General features: G+C 35.6%; 1 protein-coding gene and 1 long non-coding RNA gene across 3 annotated transcripts in view, besides 1 other annotated feature; one reads left to right on the top strand and one right to left on the bottom strand.

Moving 5' to 3' along the window:
* BET1 (Bet1 golgi vesicular membrane trafficking protein) overlaps window positions 1–24,945 on the top strand; it is a 41,594-nt gene that overhangs the window by 11,154 nt on the left and 5,495 nt on the right. The window contains exons 5-6 of one of the 2 annotated variants that reach the window (NR_133908.2): window positions 17,102–17,298; window positions 20,539–20,627. The gene's annotated coding sequence lies outside the window, so the exon portion shown is untranslated. The remainder of the gene's footprint in view (window positions 1–17,101; window positions 17,299–20,538; window positions 20,628–24,945) is intronic. The other variant, NR_133909.2, reaches the window with a different exon arrangement.
* Window positions 61–24,822, bottom strand: BET1-AS1 (BET1 antisense RNA 1). Its single transcript, NR_186701.1, has 3 exons — window positions 23,536–24,822; window positions 5,930–6,061; window positions 61–1,165 (listed from the first exon to the last, which is right to left on the bottom strand). It is a non-coding gene; the product is annotated as a BET1 antisense RNA 1 (long non-coding RNA).
* Window positions 3,911–4,115: a silencer, noted in NCBI's record as "fragment chr7:93618399-93618603 (GRCh37/hg19 assembly coordinates)". NCBI's record gives its function as "represses an EF-1alpha promoter that drives an FKBP-Casp9 reporter gene in an ReSE screen in HepG2 liver carcinoma cells {active_cell/tissue: HepG2}" and the evidence as "EXISTENCE:reporter gene assay evidence [ECO:0000049][PMID:32094911]".

Raw genomic sequence — 24,945 nt, 5'->3', positions numbered from 1 at the left:
AATGGTCCTGACAACTCAGATTCCAACCCAAATCAAGCAAAGTTAATATTTGTATTGTTGGAACTTGATTCAAACAAATAAGCAAATCTTGACTCTATTTCAAAAATCTCTTTAATTCTTTATATTTTGGGTTATGAATGTATTTTCTTGGATTTTACTGAGTTTTCAATTCTTTTTGTTCATCCCTAATAACCTGTCAGTTTGGGTTCTATTTTTTCTGGCTTCATTCGTCATTATTTGGGCCTCTACCTGACAGGTTAAAACCACCGGAACTGAGTGTGGTTAAGGGACTTAAACAGATAAGCCTGACGTGTGATGGGAGAGGCACTGGTTTGAGTTAGATGACCTGGGTTCATATCTCTATTCCTTAACTTGCTCACTGCTTTTGTCCTTGATTTCTTCATTACACCATCTATTTCATAGGATAGTTGTGAGAAGTAGATAATATGTTGTAAAGTGCCTGGTATGCGATAATCACTCAATAAATGTTGGTTCTCACTACCATTAACAGAAATTCTCAGAAAAGGTAGTTATTTTAAGGACAAGACAATAGGTTGTTTTCAGGCTTCAAGGTGATGAAATACCTCCAAGTAGGTATTTTCATCAGGCAATTGGAGAGTGACTCATTCATTCAAGAAGTTTTTAACTGTACTTTGTGTCAAGTATGTGACACCAGAGCTCACGGGAGATTCAGAAATCATTGTCAATAATTAAAGTTGTGAAAAACGGGAAGAGCAGAAGGCCAAAGAAAATGACTTAAAAATGAAAACAGGAGAATCAACAATGGAAGTAGAGGATATCAAAGCCTTAGGAAAACCAATGATGGCAAGAGAAGGATGGATTTCAGGATTGTTTAGCTATTTTATGAAAGTACTTTGTAAAATATTTAAAAATTTTAATGTGGACAGTATCATCAAGCAGATAGAGATTTCAGGAAAAGGGATTTTGGGTGGTATAAAAGTGATTCTCATCACTGCATGGTTCAACATTTCTTATGATTTTTATTTCTAAGTACTATTTAAAGTAGGTCTCTACCTGGCATTTTGTCTTGCTCCTTCACATCACTGTGTCTGCTGAGATTCCTGGCAGGCAGGGAACTCCTCTGGACACACTGGCATGTCGCTGCCCAACCAGGGATCCTTCTGCCAGCACCCTCTTTTTCCATCTAAAACAAATATGCAACATTTTAAGCATCAGAATTCTGGAGCAGAGAACCCTAGCACCTGTCCCCATGAAAAACTCTGGTTCTATAAAATAGTTTTCCTAATTTTTTAATGCTCCTAAATTTCAAGTTAGATATATTGAATTTACTTCTTTGAGAGAATGTTGAAAAAGTGTTTGATAATTTGGGTTTATGCAGTCAATAAATAATAAATAATGTCATCATTCTATACTGATGAATAAACTTTGACTAAATATTTATTGGGAAGCAGAGTAGCATTGTGGCTAAGACCAAAGGCTATGAAGTTACACTGCCTGAGCATAAATCCTGGCTCCACCATTCACACTATGACTTTGGGCTGATGACCTCTCCATCTCAGTTTCTCTGTTTGTAAAACAGGAATAAAAATTGTATAAAAATATAGAAATATACTCATAGGCTGATAGGAATAATTAAATAAAATATTTAAAAATAGTAATTTTTTATTTCTGTGTTGTAAAATCTCCCACCACACTCGATTCCAAGCACTATTGTGACAGCACTGAAACACAAGAGTTGTGAATATACATGCACAATTAGCTCTCTTGAGTTGGTACAAGCTAAATTCAGTACACTGTGGTTATGTTGGTAAGTGTTTCTGAAATATTTAGAAGTTGTTTCCCAAATGAGAATCTCTTACTTAAATTTTAATAGAGAAACTTCAGATGACATGAAATTAACTGGTGAATTAACTTGAGAATGATACCTTTCAAAGGCAATAGACACTTAGAAGATCATTTCCATATTTTACATATGTTAACTTTTTCTCAACTTGTATGGATAAAATCTTCCTACATTTATTAACCTTCCATCTTCTGGTATTTGAAATCCTGTGCAAGAATCATTTATGGAAAAGGCATGTGGTTATTGTTACTCTGGCTTCCTCCGTTCTTTTCCTTTCAGTTAAATGTTCAAGCAGGAGAGCAGGATCCTTCTGTACATTTCATAGAGCTTTGTTCTCTTTGTATATATATTGGCATCTGTATCTTAGCCAAGTAATTCACCTTGTCCTTTTAGAAGAATTTTTCACAAGCCTTGGAAAGACTATTGCATGAACCAAAGAGATATGCAAAGTGCCAAGTTCAAGTCTTAAAGTAATCTTTCCTTAATCTTCAAAATGAAGAGAAAGAAATAAGCATAAAATGTTTCTGACCGAAAAAAAAAACAAGCATATACTAGATGTGAGACTCCAAAATTCATTCAAGCTTAATCATTTATAACATTAGTAGCTGAAGTGTAATGCAAAATGTAACCACATTACCCATTATAAATATAAGTATTCTACAAAGTCTTTATGACATTTAGAAAAGAAAAACTGTTTAATGTTTTCTTTTGACTTTGCTAATTTCAACATGGGTTATAATTATACAATTATGTAAAGAATTGTCCTACTATGTTTTCTCAAAGATCGATGATTTTGGTGTGATACACTTGAAAGCAGACAGCTGAATCTGACTTTTAGTATTTATAGCTTCTCTAATGCCTGTAATTAATTTAGAAATGAGCAGGAGAAAATGAAATACATAGCATAAAAATGTCTATATACAACAGATATTAATATATTTATAATGAAAAACCTTGTCAGGTCATCAATTTACATTTTAAAAGAATATTTATAATTATTGCTTTCTCCTCAAGTTTATCTCATTAATTAATAAATAGTTCGACCAGCTGGTAATTTATTAAGCTTTTACATTATTTAATAATCCATTTGCTTTAAAGCACATAAGATAAAGTGTCTTATTTTTAAGGAAAGTAGAACATGAGTTTTATGTGAGGTAATTTGTATTTCAGAAAAGTTACTGGAATAAAATGCTTTAGTCTGATTATACACAGATTTAATGCTTAGTTTCTTCAAAGATCTTTTAATATGTTAATTTTACATTAATATATATTTATATTTAACTTATTTCAAAATTATTTAAAATCTGTAAAAGGCAAATTGAGTTTGTTTTGTTCACACACAAGACAATTTCAAGGAGTCCAAATATGTTATGATGATGTCTATTAAAGATATCCATACCACATGATTAAAATTATTTTCATAATTAATGGATTATCTTCTAGGTTACTGCTTGAAAGACAAACTTCTGAATGGTATGAGCTAGTCAGCTTCCTTAAACTCTTTGTCTGCATTTATTTCTCATGGCTAAATAATTTAAATTTAATTTTAAACTATTTCTAAAATAGTTTTAGATTCACACAGAGAGCATTTTAAACCAGATCAATGGGGATATAGAAAACATTCTTTCTATTGGTTACACACTCTTTTGTCTTCAAAATTGCCATAAACCCTATTTCCACAGGCTCAGTGAAAACTGAGCACCAAGAACGTGATGTATTTTTGACTCTAGCAAAAAACTAGAAAAGTACACACAAATTTTGTTTGCATTCACAACCGGTCACTTAAGGCAACTGACAATGCCAGGCTCCCTACTGTGAAGTTTGTAACAGATGGGACAAGACAAATTGCAAAGTTTAGTTCACTTGCACTTACACACAGTGTAATCTGAATCTACCTTTTGGGCATGGCTAGCAACCACCCTAGGGCAGTTTCACAGAATCCTCTCTCTAAACTTTAAAAAACTTAAATTTATTTTTTTTTAAAAAAGAAACTACAAATCTATTTCATAGAATAACAGCATTCTAATATTTGAATTTAAGAGTGATTTTAATATACTTGCTTCGGCCTGGCACGGTGGCTTACGCCTGTAATCCCAGCACTTTGGAAGGCCGAGGTAGATGGATCACTTGAGGTCAGTAGTTCAAGACCAGTCTGGCCAACATGATGAAACCCCGTGTCTACTAAAAATACAAAAATTAGCCAGGCGTGGTGGCGGGCATCTGTAATCCCAGCTACTCGGGAGGCTGAGACAGGAGAACTGCTTGAACCCAGGAGGCAGAGGTTGCAGTGAGCCGAGATCGCACCACTGCACTCCAGCCTGGGTGACAGAGTGACTCCGTCTCAAAAAAACAAACAACAACAACAACAGTATATATATATATATTTTATATATTTATATATCTTTTATATATGTATATATATATATTTATATGTTTATATATATATTTGCTTAACTTTTTTCTACCACTGTGTGTCTTAGAATTAATCACAAGGAAGTTGTGGTGGAATAAGTTTTAATATAAGTGAAATGTGTGTTGGCAAAAATGAAAAGGAAGGAAGGAGAGACAGGAGAAAGTTAAACTTCAGTCCTTTTTGTATTAATATAGTCTTTTACCTAAATTATATTCAGCTTTTTCCGGAGGATGTAGACCTTCTAAGGGCAGATGGGCAGTATGAAAATATTATATGTTAACTTATTTGCTTTTTAATTAAGTGTACGAGTGTTGCTTTATTCAACATGCAGTTTTGCTCTTGTTTCTAGTAATGAAATGATGTATGTTTTCAGAAAATTTAATTAATTACTAATTAAACAATTCCTACTGGTACTAATCCATGCCAGGTAAACTCAAGATGGGTTTTCTTAATATAAGCATGCATATTTACTCATGACTTAAATTTTTGTTCTAGTACTTCCCTAGAGAGGTTATACACATACATCCATCTTAAACTGTAGCATCTGCTATGTAAAACTCATGTTTTTCTTCACCAGTGAGGAATTTTAAACTGTTAACGTCTTCAAAAGATATCTCTGTGGTGTTTGATGGCCTATGCACATAAACAGTGTTTCAATTCTTTTAGAGATATGAATTCCTAATAATAAAGAACATAAAATTCATTTAGGAAAGACATATTTGGTGTGTATCAACATAAAGGACCTTATGTTAAACACCTGTGTTTTCCATTAAGCACTTGGCACAGTAGTAGATCCCAACAAGTGTTTGCTGAATAAATTGATGCTTTGGTTTTCATCTTTTCTGCTAGAGAACATATCTTTTTAATCACCTCTCACTAAAATTCCAGTGCTGAGACCATAAAAGGCCCCTAATAAAAATATATGGCTTGATTAATAACATACCAAGTTTACTTACTAGCTGAGCTTCTTTAAGTATTAGAGGTACAATATTTTAGCCATTAGATTAATTGGGGACCAAAAATTATTGCTAAATTAAAATTCTTCTTATGATTTTCGCTACTTTAAAGCTGAGGGAAGATGAGTTAAAATTGAATGCCATGTCTACAGGGTCAAGTATGGATGCCACTTAGGCACAAGTGGAAGAACAACTGAGGAAAGCTGTTTAATATTCTTCCTCTTCCATCAAAATTCACATTTTGTAATCAAGTATCTTAGCTTTAAAATGCACTTAAAAACTTTTTTTCTCTAAACTCAGAATATAGCCTTGAAATGCACTTTACAACTCTGTTTCTCTCCCTTTCCCACCAGACACTCCCTAGCACCATGCACACTTATTCAATGATATGCTTGTTTAGAAGCTCCCGGGGCTACTCTAGAAGCAAACCAGATACGGAAACCCAGTTGTAGAACTCTCCCCCACCTAGAAATTACCTCAGAGGGGATAATCTATGACCCAGCCACAGTGAAGATGATGCCAGCTTGGATTCTGTCCAGGTAGACAATAATTCAAGATAGCCATTGGAACAAGACATGCAGAACTGCACCTTGCACAACTCCTGCAAGTTTCTCTTTTTAAACCCCTACAGTCAGCCCAAAAATTTGAAATGGTTTTGTAGAGGCATAAACCTAGCCATTTCCTCAACTGCCGGCATTTGATTAATAAAGCTGCTTTCCTTCCACTATACCTCACCTCTTGTGTATTCGGCTTCTCAAGCGGCAAGTGGCTGAACTTGCTTTCCACTGCAATTTCAAGGCATGAGAGGTTTATCAGTATCTCTGACCCAAGTCGATCCGGTGAGTTAGGCATTTCATTCCTGAAAGCCTAGATTAAAAAAACAAAAAACAAAAACAAAAAAACCCTTTTTTTTTTTTCTATGTCTGTTTCAGAAACACATTCTGAGAAATGCATTGTTAGGTGATTGATTTTGTCCTTATGAGAACATCCTAGAGTGTGCGTACACAAACCTACATGGTATGTTCTACTGTACACTTAGGCTATGAGGTGTACCCCATTGCTTCCAGGCTACAAACCTGTATAGCATGTACTATACGGAATAGTGTAGGCAATTGTAACACAGTGGGAAGTATTTGTGTATCTGAACACATCTAATCATAGAAAAGGTAATGCATTGCACTGTGATGTTACAATAGCTACATCACTAGATTATAGGAATTTTTGCAATGTTACAATGGCTACAACATCACTAGGGGATAGGAATTTTTCAGCTCCAGTTAATCTGATGGGACCACCATTATATATGTTTTCCATTGTTGACCTTAGCCAAGAAGTCTGCATTTCACTCAAAGCCCTACAGCAAGATGTGTAATCCACTTAGCCCACAATGTAAGTGGTGACATCTTACCAGGGAATTTCAGTGGCACATAAATTAAGAACGTATTCAAGTGACAGGCGGGGCATATCCCTACTGTTGGCAATTAGGCACACCTAGTTAGCTTAGTATCTGTGGGTAGTTCACATTTTGCTGCCATTGATGATGCAGTCATTACCTTTCTTCATGTTTGTTATGCTGATATAAGGGAATCAGAGAAAAGAGTTTTTGTTTCCAACTTTCAGAACAGGCAATCCATTCTCATTTGTGAAAGGCAAGTGATAAATATTAGCAACTTAGAAACTCAGCTCTTTAGGTCTACCATGGATTTTCAGAGCTAAAACTTTCCAGTCTATTCCCTGGATTATAGAATTTTGAATTGCAAATGAGATACCATTTAATTCAAACATTATTTTATAAATTCAAGTTTCTGTCCTGCACATGTTCACAGGTATAATTGAGAGATACTTGAGAACTAATTGAATCAAGAGGATGCACATAGGTCGAATAACAAAAACCGAACAGATTTGTTTTTCTGGTCTGGCTACCATCAACTCTCATTATTTCTAACCATTAACTTTAGCTGAGACGATAACAGAAATGGTAAGGAAAGAAGAATGGGGTGAGGGGAGCAGGAAAAAAGATAAAAACATTTAAATCTCAGTATCACAGGAGGACCACTGTGGTCCGTTTCTAACTTTACAACCACCAACTCTAAGATGCTCTAGGTCCTTGGCTGTGTGTTTCTGCCTTGATCCCTTAATTGCTTATCAGCTTGGAGGGTGTTGTTTGAATGATTGTGTCTTATTGTGGGACAATCTGAACCTGAAATTTAGTTGGAGTGTCCATATTCATTGGGTCCTATTCCACTGAGCTCAACCTACCATTCACAAGAGCTGGATCATTGCTCTGTTAAAAGCACATTTATATTAAGTATATGAGGTGATGTTCTGTACTTAAAACTCTCCATTATTTGGTTTGAACACAGTTTAGTTTGAATACATTACAATACAGTTTGAATACATTACAATATAGTTTGAATACATTACAATACAGTTTAGTTTGAATATGAACTCTCCACTATTTAGTTTGAATAGTTTAGTTTGAATGCATTATTTAGTTTGAATTATTCTGTTATATACCAGCATCACACAGATTAATAATAATAACCATTTATTGGGTGAGAGACAGTTCTGAACACTTTATGTAACCTAGCTCATTTAACCTGCATAATATCCTTAAGGTGAGTATTAGTAATAGCCTTATGTTACACATAAAATTCTGGCCCAGAGCCATTAAACAACCGAAAGTCACATAAAGTTTGGAATTCAGGCAGTCTGTCTCCAAAGCCTGCATTCTTAATCACACACAGCATTGTTTTTGTAGCTCAGCATGAAACTTTATAGAAAGTCTTCCCAGACTCAAGGTAGATTATGAAGTTGAAAGAGGACCAGCAACAGTAGCCATATTTCTAACTTTCTGGAGTTGGGAGCATGGTTAGGGAAGGTAGCAGAGACAGTGTGGGGGAGGGCAGAGATATAGAGGTGAGAGAATGGGATAGTAAGACTGTTTTGCTAGGAATTGAGCCTGATTAAAAATTCTGAATTTTCAAAATATAGAGTGAGAATATATATTCTTTATAGCTTCTGAAAAAGCAAACTATTTTAATCTCCTAGCTTCTGAATTTGATTTGTAAATCAGCAGTTGAATTTGGCTAGAGACTGTACTAGACATAAAGAAATCTGTGTAACTCCATGATATCTGACATTTTCTTTTGTCCTGTGAGGATTATAGTACTAATACATGACTAAGTTTTCTAGGGAGAAATATTTATTCATTTAGCCATATTTATATCTGAATTTTCTTTGAAGACTTTTTTTTAAATCACGCAATGCTTTATAGTGCTCTGATTTAAATTTCCATCAAGCATTTGCAAACACAATCTGGAGGCTATTCTGTAGTTCATTATACAAGTAGGCATACTGAAGCACAAAAGGAAAGAATGATAAGCTAATCAGTGCTGTTTTGCCACCTAATTACAACATTTTTTTTTTTAACCCACGACATTTATCTTTGTTTCTGGTTCATCCAATTTCCAGGAAAGAAAGTGGCCTTCTTCAGTAGAAGGAATTTCATCTCAAATAACTTACAATTAATGTTCACCTATTTGGCAGAATGACATTGTAACAGTACTAAAAGGTTTGACGTAGTTGTCCACCAACTCTTCTCAAATGTACTGAGTTGAATAATAGTTCCTAAAGATTCATGTACACCCAGAACCTCAAAATATGACCTTATTTGGAAATAGCATCATTGCAGATATAATCTAGGTAAGATCAAGCCACACTGGGTTAGGGTGAGCCCTAATACAATGACTAATGTCCTTACAAGAGGAAGGACATTTGATGGGCACAGAGACACAGAAAATGCCCTGTGGAGACAGAGGCAGAGATTGAGCAATATGCCTACAAGCAAAGCAACACCAAGGATTGCCAGCAACCACCTGAAGCTAGGAGAAGGCAAGAAAGGATCCTACCCATGAGCTCTCAGAAAGAGCATGGCCTTGCCAACATCTTGATTTTGAAGTTCTAGCCTCCTGAATTGTGGGATAATCAATTTCTGTTGTTTTCAGCTACCAATTTGTTAGAGTCCCTAGGAAACTAAGACATCAGTCATTGCAGCATCATGGGTTGCCTAGGAGTGCCTGGGATGAAAATCCAGATGCACAAGAGTGAGATTCTAGACAGCAAAATACAGGGCTCTGGCTACCACATTCTCCTAAGTGCCAGCTATTGCCAATGCAGTCAAGCTCTGTGGATATTCTAGGGAATATTTGCTCAAAAGACTTTATTTCTTTTCCTTTTTTTTTCTTTTTTGCAATGCATGACTGAAGAATTGAATTGGGTAAATAATGCACCCAGATTAGTAGAAGCAGCAACCTGAATGAGGCTGAAATCAAGGAAAATATTCTGAAATGAGGAGCCACTAATAAGACACTAACCCTTTCCAATTGATATAGTGTAATTCTGTAAGCATTTTTTTCCCACTACAATTTTGTACAGAGTCATGGCTCATCTTAATTTGGTCCTAAAATTTTTTTAGGTCCATGAATGTATATCAAACTTAACCATTGATGCAGAAAACATGTTATGTGTCCTTAAACACAGAGGAATTATTATAAATTTTAATCCCCTAAAATATTGCAACTTTTGGAGATTTTCCCCCATGAATCAGAGACCAGTTCATGTCTTTTTAGGGAATTCAATATATTGAGGTGAACCACCAATGCAATAATATTTTAAAGACAAGAGTTGATCTTGTCATGGCATGAAGAAATAATTAATAGAGACGTACTCCATGAAGAAGTGAAAGGGAGGATGTGTTCCAACTAGAATTGGGAAGAATAATGTGACACCAAATACCTTTTTCTATCAGTGATAGGAAAATAGACAATGACAGGTCAAAAATAATCAACAAGCCATGGGTCATGCCTTAATCATTGAGTGAATGCTAAAATGGGAATCTCCCAGACTCTCTTATTTCCTGGCCTGGGCCACCTCTGGTCTTCTGGTACTGATTTTTTGGCATCAGGATCAACTTTGGATCTAGAAGAGGGAATTGTCTGAAGAATGCCTTATCTGCCCTGTTCTTTCCCTAGTGTAGGGTCAATTACGTCAGTGCTAAAGAACATCAGAACCTTCGTATTATGAGAAATGTACATACTCTTTTCTCAAGCAGAATAAAAATAACTATTCTTACTGAAATATGTAGAGGTGTTGATAGTATTAAGCACAATTTGAACAAACAAGCAAAACTATCCCCTTTCTTGGAGATAAGGGACAAAATTCTGTATTATTTGTTCAGAATTATTATTATTTCTTGTGTACCCAGAACCTCAAAATGTGACCTTATTTGGAAATAGTGTCTTTGGAGATATAATCTAGTTAAGATGAAGCCACACTGGATTAGGGTGAGCTCTAATCCAAGGACTAATGTCCTTACAAGAAGAAGGACATTTGATGGGCACAAAGACACGGAGAATTCCAGGTGGAGAATAAATTCCCAACCATACCTTCAGTCTCTTGAGGGCAAGGACAGGATGTATACACATTTAATCTTTATTATCCAAGCCCAACATAGTATCTGGCACATAGTAGAAACTCAATGGACTGAATGAGCAAATAAGTTCATAAAGTAAGGGGCAGCTGAACCAGAATCACCAAATTACAGAGTTCTAGACACCCAGATAGGTAAATTTGTTTATGACTGAGAGTTGTCAATTATAATGGGATGGCAGAGTGAGAGAATTCCTGGCTTCCAAGACCATTGGAACTATCATCTTATACTATGTTTCTATTTGCTAGAAAGTCACATAGTACAATGAGCTTCATAATTATAGACTGATCTATATATCTATATTTCAAGCAGTGTGCCATGATTTCATAAAATATTTATTAAGCTTCTGCCAATAGTCTACTAGATATCATAGAAAAATACATATAAAATCCTGCCTTTAGCAGATTATGACATAGCTAAAGATGTTTACATTCATCACTACAATTAAGCAATAAAGCAGGTGCAAATAGGTGTGTGGTGGGATGAGGGAGTAGCTTTTATTTAATATCTGTATCAGATCCAGACTCTGTGTCATACCAGAGCTACTCAGCTTCGCCTATCCACTCTCCCCACAATCCTCCGCTTTCTTTGCTTCCCAGCTGGAAGGATCCTGGCACTGCCCACTGGTCTTATAGTTTAATGCCGTGACTTCTGCCACTGCCATGCACACCCTTGGACCAGTTCCCATTGGCACTACTGACTGCAATGTCTGCTCCATCACCAGATTGGACCAAGAGAAGGTGTTACTTCTCCAGTGGCTGCCCGGGAATGCTACCTGGAAGTACAATGGATTTAATGACTCCTAGGAGGACTTCAACCAATGAAAGACAAAGAGACAGCAGCAGCCAGCTGATACATTACTTGAATTCCAGGAATTGCCCTTCTGGAGAATTTATATGAGAATCAGCAACCTACTGTTTTTCCTTTGAGGCTGTGGACAGCTTAAGTAGTATGCTCTCTTTGCATTTTGGTCCCCTTTCTTCTCTGCCTTGCTGCTGTTTTCCCCAAATTTACTTCCCAATAAGCTTTTGAATCAGGCTTTGTTTTTCAGGAAGTGTGGGCCAAAACAGTACTTGGAAAAGATTTTACTTGGGAGAACATGATAGCTTTTTGCTATTTATAAGAATTCATAGACAACCCACTACTGAAGTAATGTAAACAATTAATGACCTTTTGCTTCTCTCACAATGTGGAATGATAAAAAGCAATTCAATGACAAATCATCCCAGTCTGTAGAGGACTGAGGGATTTCCCAGGGCATGAGACTTCCAGTGCTGAAACTGGGAAAATCCTGGGCAGACCAGGAAGAGTTGGTCACTGTGAAAAGCAGTTAGGAGAAATTTACAAAGGTAGGCTGAATTTGTGTAGAAACACCCCCAACAGCAAACACATAGAAATGACAGATAAAATACTACAAATATTAACAAAAAATTCATATAGGAATAAATGAAACAAGGGGAAATCTCCAGATGGCAGAATTGAAGAAACTGTCTAAAATAAAGCCCAGAGACAAAAAACAGAAAACTAAAAGTGATACTAAGATACGTAAATGGCGACTTTCCCAATTACACTTGAACTCTTGTGTACTTTCGCTTTGCAATAAAAACTTCTTTGCCTTTCACTTCAAAGAAAAAAAAATGGTAAAATGAGAACTCCAACATATATAAGATCACATCATCAGCAAACACAGACAGTTTTACTTCTTCCTTTCTGATATGGATGCGTTTAAAAATTTTTCCTTGCCTGATTGCTCTCGCTAGGACTTCCAGTACTATGTTGAATAGAAGTGGCGATGGTGGGTATCCTGGCCTTGTTCTGGGTCCTAAAGGAAAATATTTCAACTTTTCCCATTGAATATAATGCTGGCTGTGGGCTTTCCATGTATGGCCTTTATTATGTTGAAGCAATTTATTTCTACTGCTAGTTCTTTGAGAGTTATTATGGAAGTGTGTTAAATTTTATCAAATGCTTTTCTCATGTGATTTTTATCCTTCATCTTGGTAATACTGTGTATCAGGTTAATTGATTTTTGTATGTTGAACCACCCTTGAATCCCAAGGATAAATTTCACTTGATCCTGGTGTATGGTTCTTTTAATATGCTGTTAAATTTAATTTGCTAGGTTTTTGGTGAGAAATTTTGCATCTATGATCTTCAGGATTATTGGCCTATAGTTGTTTGTTGTTGTTGTTGTTAAAAAATAGTGTCTTGGGCTTTGGTGTCAGGATAATGCTGGTCCTGCAAAATGGATTTGGAAGCCTTCCTCCTATTCAGTTTTCTGAGGGAGTTTGAGAAGGATTGACATTAATTCTTTAAATGTTGGTAGAGTTCACCAGTGAAGCCATCTGGTCCTGGGCTTTTCTTTGTTGGGAGATTTCTGATTCTTGATTCAATCTCTTTACAAGTTATAGATCTGTTCAGGTTTTCCATTTCTTCATGATTCAGTATTGGTAGACTGTAGGTTTCTAGGAATTTATCTATTTCTTGTAGGTAGGAAAATTTGGAATGTTGCTCACATGGCCCAACTCTTTCCCTCCCCAGGGAGAAGCTGGAATCTGGGTTTTTTTGACCACTTGCTCTGCACCAAGCCAGGTGGAGGGGCGATGGCAAGTGCATGTGGGCTGCACTAAATCACTGTTTTTGTTCTTTCTCAGTGGCTCCCAGCATCTAGAGTACATTGAGTCTAGTCAGAACCTAAGGCCAGTGAGACAGAAGCCAGTTCCCTGAGCAACCCTCAGAAGAATTAGAACATTGGATATATGATCCAGTCCTTTCCTTAACTCCCCAGGGAGAAGCTGGGAGATGGAAACTTCCTCCCAATCATATGGCAGTATGCTGGGGGTGGGGATTATGGTGAGAAAGAGAGTCGAATTTTCTTACTGGCTTCAATGTGCCGGTCTCATGCTTGCTGGAGTGCAGGAGTCCCTCAGTTAGTTTCTGAAGTTCTCACAAAAAGAATTGGTTCATATGTGGTTGCTGATGTGTCATGGGGAGAAGGAAGGTTCTTGCTGACACTACCATTCCCATCTTGCAGTCATGTTTAAAGGCAGACAAGGTTATGCAAATTAGGATAGAATGTTAAAGTTCACTAATTTATGATATGACACTTATGGGAAAATGTCACTGCTTTCAGGAAATAAAAATATACTTTTATACAAAAGTATGTATAAAACATTTTAAGTTGGTGGTAAATCCCTGCCATTGCACTGAACAGTGGCACAGCTAGGCCTGTGTGTTAGACATTGGTTATTTTTATGTACCCAGCATCCAGACAATCCTTCCTATTATGAGACATTCCCTAGTTGTGTGTGTATCCCTTCCCACTCCAGAAGCCAAAGGGATTGAAGATACTCCCTTCCTGTCTTCCTGAAAGCCAGATGTAGGCTCAGAATGCAGACTTGACCAATTGGATACCACCAACTGGACTTCCAAAGATTCAGGAATCTGAAAAACTATCAGTGGCAGAAGCAGCAGCATCAATTATTTTGCAGGGATAGGTGTGGCATCCAGTGGCAGAGGCCTTGAGCATTTAGTGCTGAACAGTCTGGTAGACACGAGAAGACAGTAGCTTAAGTGTCCACTAGTGGCAGCTCCAGTGATTGGGTGCTCTTGAACCATGACCAGCTATACTTCTTATTCTCTGGCCAACCTTCATTTGTCCTTATCTATTTTTTATTCTTGATCTCCAAGCTTCCAGAATGAATGTGTGGACTCCCTTCAAACAGATTCATTTTCTGTAAAAGTTTGTCAAAGCCATTTTTTCTAACATCAAACTCTGACTGATATCCTAATTTTCATGATGTAAGTTTGCATATTACAGTAATTTTTAAATTACTAAAACTTGGGAAATGGGCACATAGTTTTTTACTTTAAGTAATCTATAAACTGAAAATTTAAACAAGATATTAAATAGAAAAAGGAAGCATATGAAAATAGTCAAACAAGCCAACAGACTAGTAAAGGCAAATTCTTACAGAGTTCAGAAACTCTAACAATGTATGATAATGTAATGAGAAATGCATCAAGGGGGAAATGAAACGTGGGCAATATTGTATAGGAAATGCAGGAAGGAGATAGATGAAGAGAACCAGAGAGATCTTTCCAAGTGGAAGTGCTGATCTGAGCAAAGACTTAAAAATGAGATTGCAGGCCAGGCACAGTGGCTCACTCCTATAATGCCAGCACTTTGGGAGGCCAAGGTGGGCAGATTGCTTGAGCCCAGGAGCTCCAGACCAGACTGGGCCACATAGCAAAACCCCTCTCGACAAAAAAATACAAAATTAACCGGGCATCATGGTACATGCCTTTAGTCCCAGCTATGGGGAGGCTGAGAGATGGGAGGATCATTTAGCCTCAGAGGTGGAGGCTGTGGTAAGCCAATCATGCCACTGCACTCCAACCTGGGCAACAGAGTGACACCCTGTCTGGAAAAAAAAAAAAGAAACAAAGTTGCAGATGCCACATTTTGAGACAATAACAACCAGTCTAGGACAGAGAGTTTAAGTAAAAGAAACATTAGATTATGGCCTCAGATGCTAGTAAGGAGCTTGAATTTGAGCCTGTACACGTAGGGGAATTGAAGGTTCCTAAGTGGGCAAGTGGCATATAATCAGGTAAAGGATTCAATGAAACCGTCACAAAGAAAGACTCCACAGGTTCTGGTCAATAAATATGATGGGGTGGTCATTAAAGAAAGTGTCAGATATGTTTTCAAGCTGGAAGAATGGAAGATTGACACAAGCATCTGGCCTCTGGGACAACATGCAGAATTCAGTTTTATTTCTGTTTACAAAGGAGAGTGGTCAAAGTGGGAGTTCCAATTTAGGAAGGAAGCTTCTGCATAGAGTGCCCCTGTGAGGGTTGGTCCCGTGGCCAAGAATAAGAGCTAGAGAGAGAGAAACGGAGAGCTGAGGTCTGAATCTTGTGCCAGATAGAAGTGAGTAAATGGTCAAAGTACAGGGTTTTTATTCTAATCCTTAAATCCTATTAAGTAAATAATTTAAAATATGAGGATTCATTTATAAACCAATTTTTTATTTTTTCTCAAATTAGTTTCACTTATACAGAGCTACTACCCGTAATCTGTACCATCTGTTTGGGGTTTATCTAATTAGAATGCATTCTGTAACAAAGCCAATGAAGGCTAAATAGTGACTTAGACTGGCAGGCAAAAAACTAGAGGTGCCTGCCCCATGCCCTGCTAATTCTGCATATGTATAGTAGAGACAGGGTTTCACCACGATGGCCAGGCTGATCTCAAACTCCTGGCCTCAAGTAATCTGCCTGCCTCGACTTCCCAAAGTGCTGAGATTACAAGCATGAGCCACCGTACCCAGCCCCTCCAACATCTTTGATGCTGAAAGATCTGTGCACAGTAGACGAAACTTCATCCAGATTATGACTGACTAACAAGGAAGATACAAGAGCTCAGGTTGGAGTATCCAAAGAAAATGTGATTGAGATATAGATATAGATAGATATAGATATATCTCAGCCATAAAAGGGAACAAAATAAGGGCATTCGCAGGAACCTGGATGGAGTCAGAGACTGTTATTGTAAGTGAAGTAAGTCACAAATGTTAAACCAAATATCTTCTCTTCTCACTTATAAGTGAGAACTAAGCCAGAAGGACGCAAAGGCATAAGAATGATATAACGGACTTTGGAGACTCATGGGAAAGTGTGGGAGGGTAGTAAGGGATAAAAGACTACACATTGGGTACAGTGTATGCTGCTCAGGTAATGGGTGCACCAAAATCTCAGAAATCACCACTAAAAGACTTATGCGTATATCCAAACACCATCTATTCTCCGAAAACGATTGAAATAAAATTTAAAAAATAATAATAAGTACTCTTTTATTAACCACATGTGGTCAAGGTGAGATGAAATATGAGGCAAAAAAGCAGCACTGTAATGCTATGTTCATTGCTATTTTTAAAGAACAATAAAATTACATTTTTTATTTACCTGAGAACTATTGTTCAGAGATCCTGCCGGCGTTCAAGCTTGACTAGTTTAAATAAAAATGACAATACCAAACATTCTTATGTTAAAAGGTCATTGTGCCATTTTAAGTGAGTACATGTACTTCATTTTATTGTGTTTTGCTTTATTGTGCTTTGCAGATGCTGAATGTATGTTTACACACACACACACACACACACACACAATAAGTAGATATCTTTAAAATGTATCCTGTGAAAAGTAGTTCTGGATGTGAAGGGGTTGGAGGGAAGCAGGATAAAATAATGACTTAGAAAGCTTTCTATCACATAAGCCTTCCATTAATTCTCTGAATACCTGCTCAGTTTTTCTGTAACTCTTCTGAGAGTACATTTACTTCTACTTTAAATGTTGTTTTGTTTTGTTTTTTCAAATTATTTAGAAACTAAGATCTCCATCTGTTTTTACAGTGGATCCTTCAGGTTCCAGGGATTTCACCAGTAGCAGTGAAAGCCTACTTCTGCTAATTTTGACTGTTCCTCAGCATTTGTCCAGAAGCTTAAAAAGAAGGAGGCTTACTTTCAGTGCCATCTATCACAGCTGCAGAATTATATCATGACATGTCAAAATAATGACTCTGAAGCCTTCCAAATCTTCCAAGAAAGAAGTAAGTTTTTAACAAGTACATTTGATAGTCTCATAATATTTTGAAAATTAAAAATCGTTATCTGGCAGGTGTGATTGAGCATGATATTAAAAGAGAACATCATGACATTCTTCAATTACTCAAGAGAAAGTAGCATTTTCCACCTATACCCATTATATCTGGATCATCTCGGCTTTCAAAAATGGTAAGCAGTATGCTTGTAATTAAAACATAAAGGATGACTTAATGACAATTTAAGTATCTATGCAAAAAACAGCATTAACTGGTGTGGAATGTCCTTTGCTATTAAAGCTTACAGACACTTTCTAATACGTCATATAAACATTTTTGCATTATCTTTTAAAATTAAAACACGATTTGTTAATTTTTTTACAACTAAAGCCATACATAAGGGATTTCCTGGCCAAAAATAAAAATAGTAATGCATTTTCTAAATATCACATGCTCATTGTAGAGATTTTGGAAAACAAAATTAAGGAAAAAATAAAAATCGTCTGCACTTTCACTTTCCAAAGATAGCTATTCTCAATATTCTAGTACATTTTATTTCAATTTTTAAAAACTTCTTGTTTTGTAAGAACATTACTTACAGAAAAGTTATAAAAATAGAAAAATACAGTTGCTTTAATGGTCAAAACCAAGAAGTTAACATTGGTACAATACTATTAATTAAATTACAGACATTTTTCAAATTTCACCAATTTTTCTTTTAATGTTATGTTTATGTTCCAGAGTCCTAGTCAGGATCTCACATCTCATTTAGTTGTGATGTCTTTATGGTTTCCTCTGATCTGTTACATCAGATACAACAGACACTTCTGAAGAGTCCTGGTCAGCTATTTTGTAGAATTTCCATCAATTTGGTTCTATTTGATGTTTCTCATGATTAGATTGAGATTATGCATTTTTGGCAAGAATACTACAGAAGTGATATGCCCCTCTCAGTGTATCATGTCAATATATGTATATCATGTATGATGTCAATGTATCTAATTATTGGTTATGTTGACCTGGATCACTTTCTAAAAGTGGTGTCTCCCAGTTTTCTCTACTCTAAAGTTACTATATTTCTTTTTTAATTAATAAATATTTTGTAAGAGTTACTTTCAAATGCAAATATTATTTCTCCTCAAACTTTTACCCAACAATTTCAGCATTCATTAGTGGTGTTCTAATGGTGATTTTCCATTTCCCTCATTCCTTCTTTACTTATTAATTGGAATCTTTTTCTAAAGAAGAGCTGCCTCTTCTCCTACATTTATGTATCTACTCAAATACTTATCTTTATCACTATGGCACCACAGATATTTACTTTATTCTATGGATTATAATCCAATTACATTTTTTCTTTTTGTAAATTTTTCTAGCTTTGGGCATTGGGATCTTTTCCATTTGGCTCCTGTGCCCTTTCAACATGCCCTATTCTTTTTTGAGCACTGTCGTACTTCCTGCTGCTGCATGGGGCTAAAGTCTTATCTTGTATATTTTCTGTGCCAGCCTTGGAATCAACTATATCTCCAAGGAGTTCTGGTTCCTTTTATTAGATAAAGGTATTAGAAACAAAAATCTGGGTGACAGGTGTGCTTACTACTAACAGAGTGTCACTACTTTTAGTACCTGTCAGTGAACATGGTTTCAGAATACATATATTATACTGGTTATTGCATACACATATGTCTAAGTTTATGTCAGTATTTATCTTTAAAAATGATGAATTCATATTGATATCTACAATTCCAATCCAATACTACAGGGTTTATTCTAGCTATCCCTTTTCTTATATATAACTTTTCTATTATAGACAAAGAGAAAACTGACTCTCATTTTCTTCAATATATGCATGTATTTTTTTCAACCCTAGCATACAAAGAAAATAGCTTCTGAAATATGAATCTGTACCCATTTGGGAACAAATTTACTAAGGAAAGTATATTATTTGTGTGCAGTTCTTTTTGTCTTTAGCCTCATACTATTCAATCAAAATATTGTTTTCCAAAATAAGTTAGTTCTTCTTTTACACCTCCTGTAGTGTTCTGTTACTCATTTTTAATACAGTTAGATACATTTGCTACAGTTTGTATTCTAGTTGGGGTTCTTCCCAGGCCTGGTGCATTTTAAAACCTTTATGTAGCATATAATTCAGTATTTGTATGCAGTGTCCCTGTTCAGATTCCTTTGTGTTTCAGCCTTCTCATCACAGGGCCCAGAGGCCAGGTGTTGAGGTATACATGGGAAGCCTATAGACCTCTCTTATCTGTCTTTCTGTGTTCTCGCCCCATGATCAGTAGTCACTAGGTTTTTAAAATGTATGGTTTGTATGCATACACATTTTTTTTTCTGAGTTCTTTATACAGCAGTTCAAGTAATTCACATGGAAAATCTATTTCATGAAAACTCCTTCTCCAGAGTTTGTCTCCCCAGAGCTAAATTCTGGTGGATGGGAATAATATACACTTTGTAGTTCAAAAAGTTCGGGGAACTGAGGATCCCAAAACCTTCCTAGATACAGCTGAAGTTTTGAGCCTTTACTTTAGTCATCAGCTAGCAATGTAGTAAATATGATTCAAGAATGACTGTTCAATTCTGCTCAACAGCTATAGGAGATCTAAAATGCCAGGCTTTTGCTTAGTAGTAAGACTGCAGAATCCTTAAAAACTGCAAACTCTCTTGTTCCATACTGTGGACAATCTTTCATCCCACATGTGAAGTTTTGACATCTGTGGCAGCCATGACTGAATGCAACCCAGGACTTCTTTTTGATATCTGTTAACTATACTTCAAATATCTGTATAACCAAATAATTCATTGATCTTAAATGAAAAAAGTCTCAGATTTTCCTGTTCTCCTTTGTATTCCTGATACTCTTTCATTTCGGAGCAAAATTTCTAGTTTTAAAGTTGGAAAGACTAAAGAATTCAGCCAGTTTACAGCTTCAAAAATAAATGATATGCAGAAGATAAGGCTGTCTTGCAGTAGTAGAATAATAGAATCTTCCCACTGAAATGTACAGTTTCCTCCATTGAATTGTGAAGGGCAGATGATAGAAGAAAAAAAAAAAAAGATACGAGTGATGCTGTCTACCCACTTTTTTTCCCTAAGGAAAGTGTTGAAGATGTTTCAAAAATAATAGGAAAAAAATATTCAATTTTATCTCCATGCAGGGATTCTTATTTTAGAATAGTAGGAAATGGCTATCAAAAATAATAGGAAAAAATAATATTCAATTTTATCTCCATGCAGGAATCCTTATTTTAGATTAGTAGGAAATGGCTTTCTACCACTCTGAAAAGTCTCTTCTTGGCCAAACATCAAAGTCTGGAGCCAGAGATGTAAGCAGAAATGGGGCGGAAAGAGCTCACATGTTGAATCAATCAGCCTTGATTTGAATCAACCTTCCATCAATTACCAGCTAAGTAACTTTAAAAAAGTCACTTAATCTCTCTGGCTTTCTATTTCCCCATCTGGAAAGTAACACATACCTCACAGGTTGTTATTAGGAACAAATAAAAAATTTGTGTCAAGATGCGTGGCACATAATAGGTTTTCTGTAAATGTTAATTGAATAAGAAAATAGCCTTGGTTCAACATATTTTGCCTTTAAGCCAACGACAATGATAGCATTTCATGCATATTGGTTTCATTGCCTGACTACTTAGGCAATGTTATTGAACTTACAGTGTTGTGACATTGTTACACAGGAGAAGCAAACGTTGTCTCTGATGGATGGCAGCTCACACTCTAGAGCTAACACTTCGTATACAATCACAGATGAAAGGAATGACTTGCTAATGTCTATAGCAAAATTCTGGCCAAATATTTGATGTCGAATGTTATTCTCCAGGTGGGAAGGAGCACAATCTTAGCTTGACACCTCAAATAAAGCCCCTTTTTAAGAAAAAATAAATTCTCCTTAGGGAATTTTCTCAAGAATGCTTCTTTTTTCATATCCAATGGCTTTTTTTTTTTTAAGCTTGCAGTTTCTGGAAAAAGCTGTACAATATCAAAAAGCATTTCATTTAATAAAGCATTTATCTGCACCTTTAAAATTCAGATTACTTCATGGAAAGTTACCATATAATTTAAACTTTCTTAGTTAAATCTCATTAGTAATGAATCCATATCATTAATACAATTTCATATGTATTACATTAACCTATAATATAATAACTATGTAATTTATTATGTAGACCGAGACACTTTGGAGAGTGAAAGTGGGCTTTATTAATTATTATCCTGAAGTCATAATGTGAGCATAAGTGGGGCCACATAGGGACAGCCTTGGACAAAAAATGTTTACTAGGCCTACTACTGACACCTAAGAGGACTGCTCACAAGGTACTGTGAAAGGAAGTAGGGCTGTTTAGATTCAGCAGAAGCATATTGTGATTATTTTTCTTCCTGAATTGGGAGATTTGCATGCCACTTTCATTTCAGCATTAACTGTTATTCCAAGAAAAACTCTGTAGACTTAAATTGTCCTCAAATTTTAAGGCAGGAACAGAATTCCTGTATTGATGGCATGGACTTGGATTTATTACTTGCTAATGCATTAACAACAGTAAGTCAATTTATGACTATTAGATTTGAGCTTCATTATATGGTACCTGTTTCACCAAAAAGGGCACATTGCTTTTAGCAAGATATATTGTTAAAAGGGGGTCTGGGCTTTTAAATGAAGTGTGAAGGGAAACAAAGGTGCCTATTTATATATTGTATTCTATAGGTATTTCTGCTTAAGTATTATTTACAGTATATACAGTATATATTTTAATCTATTGAATTTATGTTAGATGCAGTAGAAGTTGTTTTAATATACTGCAATATTTTCTGTCAGGCAATTTGCTTAATAACATAATAACATAAATTACAATCTTCAGTACTTGCTATTATAAGTAATTCACAGCTACTTAAAACTTTCGATAATAGCATGTCCCCCTATTCAGGGACCAGGCAAGATATATTTGTTTCATCTGTGTCTGTCTTTTCCAAGATTTCTATGTTCATTCTGACAATTTACCATCTAGCTACATCTTCCAGCTAGTATATTACTAACACTCTGAAATATTTAAAGAAAAAAACTAAATGGTTGAATTAAAATACAAATCGAATTAATAAGTTTGAGTCGTTTTTGGATTAAAACCAGATTCTATGTAATATTTAACACATTTATTCCCAATTACATTTGTGAACACATTTTCTCTTTATATAATTAATTCATTTTATAATCCAAATAATATTTTTAAACTGTTTACTATGGAGCACTATTCCCATTTTTGGGATGTCAATGTAAGATGGGCCTTGTCTCAAAGAGTTGACTCTAATACTTTCATTATTTAGAACAAGGCAACAGAGTAAGAATTATGACTATATATTTGCATTATATGTGCTCAGGGTTCAGAAAAAAATGCGTAAAATATGCAAATTCTAAAATTATTTTGAAGTCTAGCTACTTAAAAGGTCAAATAAGTGTTTTCTTCTCGAGAGCTAATGGAGATGGAGAAAAATCCACCAAACAAAGAGGTGCAATTTGGCCCTGCATTCATTAGCTTCTCCACACACTGTCACCTACCCAGACAAGAGGAGATACTTACCCAATGTTCCAGGGGCTACCTGAATGAGTACATTTCCCAAAGAGGCAACCCTGTTTTCTGCTAGTATTTAATTATTTCTTTTTCTCCCCTCTATTAAACAAAGGTCTTGGTGAATATTCTTTGCAAAATCCACTTATTTCCCTCTTTCATGAATGTTAGATTGTACAAAATTTTATTGCAGAGTAAAACATCTTTAATGCAAATACTCTAATGTAACACATTTTGTATGAAGTATTGTGAATTTAGGTATTTCATTTACAAAGAGCCACTGACTAAAAACACTTAGCAATTGATACTCTCTCTGTGAAGACCAAAAAAGGCATATAGAAATTCATCAAATTAATAAATATTTGGGTAATTATGACTTATCCAAGATTGATTTCAAATAGTATACATTGTTTTCTGCAATTCAATTTTGAAATTTATAGCTAAATTCAATGAGACCAAGTAGGGCATTTGAAATCATCATAAACCAGGTGAGAAAAGAACAAATTATCATTTCCAGAATCTTGAAGAATCAAGGATAAAGAGACTAAAAATTAAACATATGAATAATTCAAATAGCCACAAATAAAGAATATAGAAATATATGCCGTGTGAGATTGCACTGACTGTTGTAAACTGAAATAAGCACAAAAATACTTACATGAAGTCAGCATGTGCTCAGGTGAATACCTTATGGATTATAATTTGGGTTTCTTCTGCTTTTCCAAAAAAAAAAGCAGGTCATAAATGAATCTTTCTCTCCTAGGGGAAAAGTCCAGCATCTAGGGGAAAAGTCCAGCATCTATGTCTCCTTCCTGATTATTCATATCCACCAGCATAGAGTAGGAAAATGTGAGTTTACTTGTTAAATTGATAGTTTGAGAGTGACTGCCAAGTTACAATTATTTACTAGACAGGGAGCATTCTTTAAGGAAGCAACACTTTCCCCAGGGAAGCCAGATCCTTCCCAAAGCTGTTCATTGTTGGACTACCCTGTTACAAAAGAATCACATATTTCTTCTTTCTGTGTTATTAACAAATTGATAAATGAACTCAAAAGTCAGAGAGTGATAAGACAGAAATTTCATTAAAACTGGATTAGAGCATTTCCTTGGACCCAAGAAGAAAAATGTGCCTCTCATTCTTCCTCCTCTTACTCCTCACTTTTCACCCAGTGAAGGGCAAAGTCATTGGGCAACCAGTGACACAAGCGTTTCACATCTTAATCTGCCTATTGCAAGCCAATAGTTTTCATTCTTTTGCTATCACACCAATTAGATAAATTATGCTGTTAGAGAAAAGTAGCTGTTTCTATCTCATCTTTCACAGAAGAGTGAAGTCACTGGTGAACGGATGGGGAAGAATGTGAGAAGAAAAGATGGTCAAATTCATAGACATTGAAAAGAACACAGATCCCCTAAAATATGTATAATACTCATAAGAATCAAAAACTTCTTCAATTACATTTGTCTATATTGTACTCATCTCCACCTTCTTTGAACTTTGTATATATGTGTGTATGTGTGTGTATAAGTGTATATACCTTCTCTGAACTTTATATAAGTTCTCCCTCCTTGATAACAGATTATAAATTTCAAAAGAAAGAGAGTGTAGTGTGACAAAAGCATGTGGGCTTTAGATTCTTAGATAATTGGGTGCACATACCAGTTCTGCAACTTAGCAGGTATATAAGTCCTCGGCTAAGTTACATTTGAGGCTCAGTCTTCTCATCTATAAAATAGGCCTAACTCTGAGGATTATTATAAAGCATACAAATAATGATGCATACAAAACATGTACTGAATAGCCCTTTAGACACATTGATGTTCATGTTTTTCCCACAGAAGAAGGCATTTGTTATCTATTTTGAACTCTGCACAAAGCATGATCTTCTGCACATTGTTAAGAATGTCAAATGACTTAATGAATATTAAGTTCCTACTTCCCTGCCTTGATAAGTCACTACAAATTAGGTAATACTTTTGTATGTATGGTTTTGAAATATTTACACAGTTTGGTGTTTGGATATTCTTGTCTGGTAAATCAGAAAAAAAATCTACTTTTAAAATCA

Source organism: Homo sapiens, chromosome 7 (genome assembly GCF_000001405.40).
Source record: "Homo sapiens chromosome 7, GRCh38.p14 Primary Assembly".
Lineage (NCBI taxonomy): Eukaryota > Metazoa > Chordata > Mammalia > Primates > Hominidae > Homo > Homo sapiens.
Note: the sequence above shows the minus strand (reverse complement) of the source record. Positions and strands in the feature narration are given on the sequence as shown.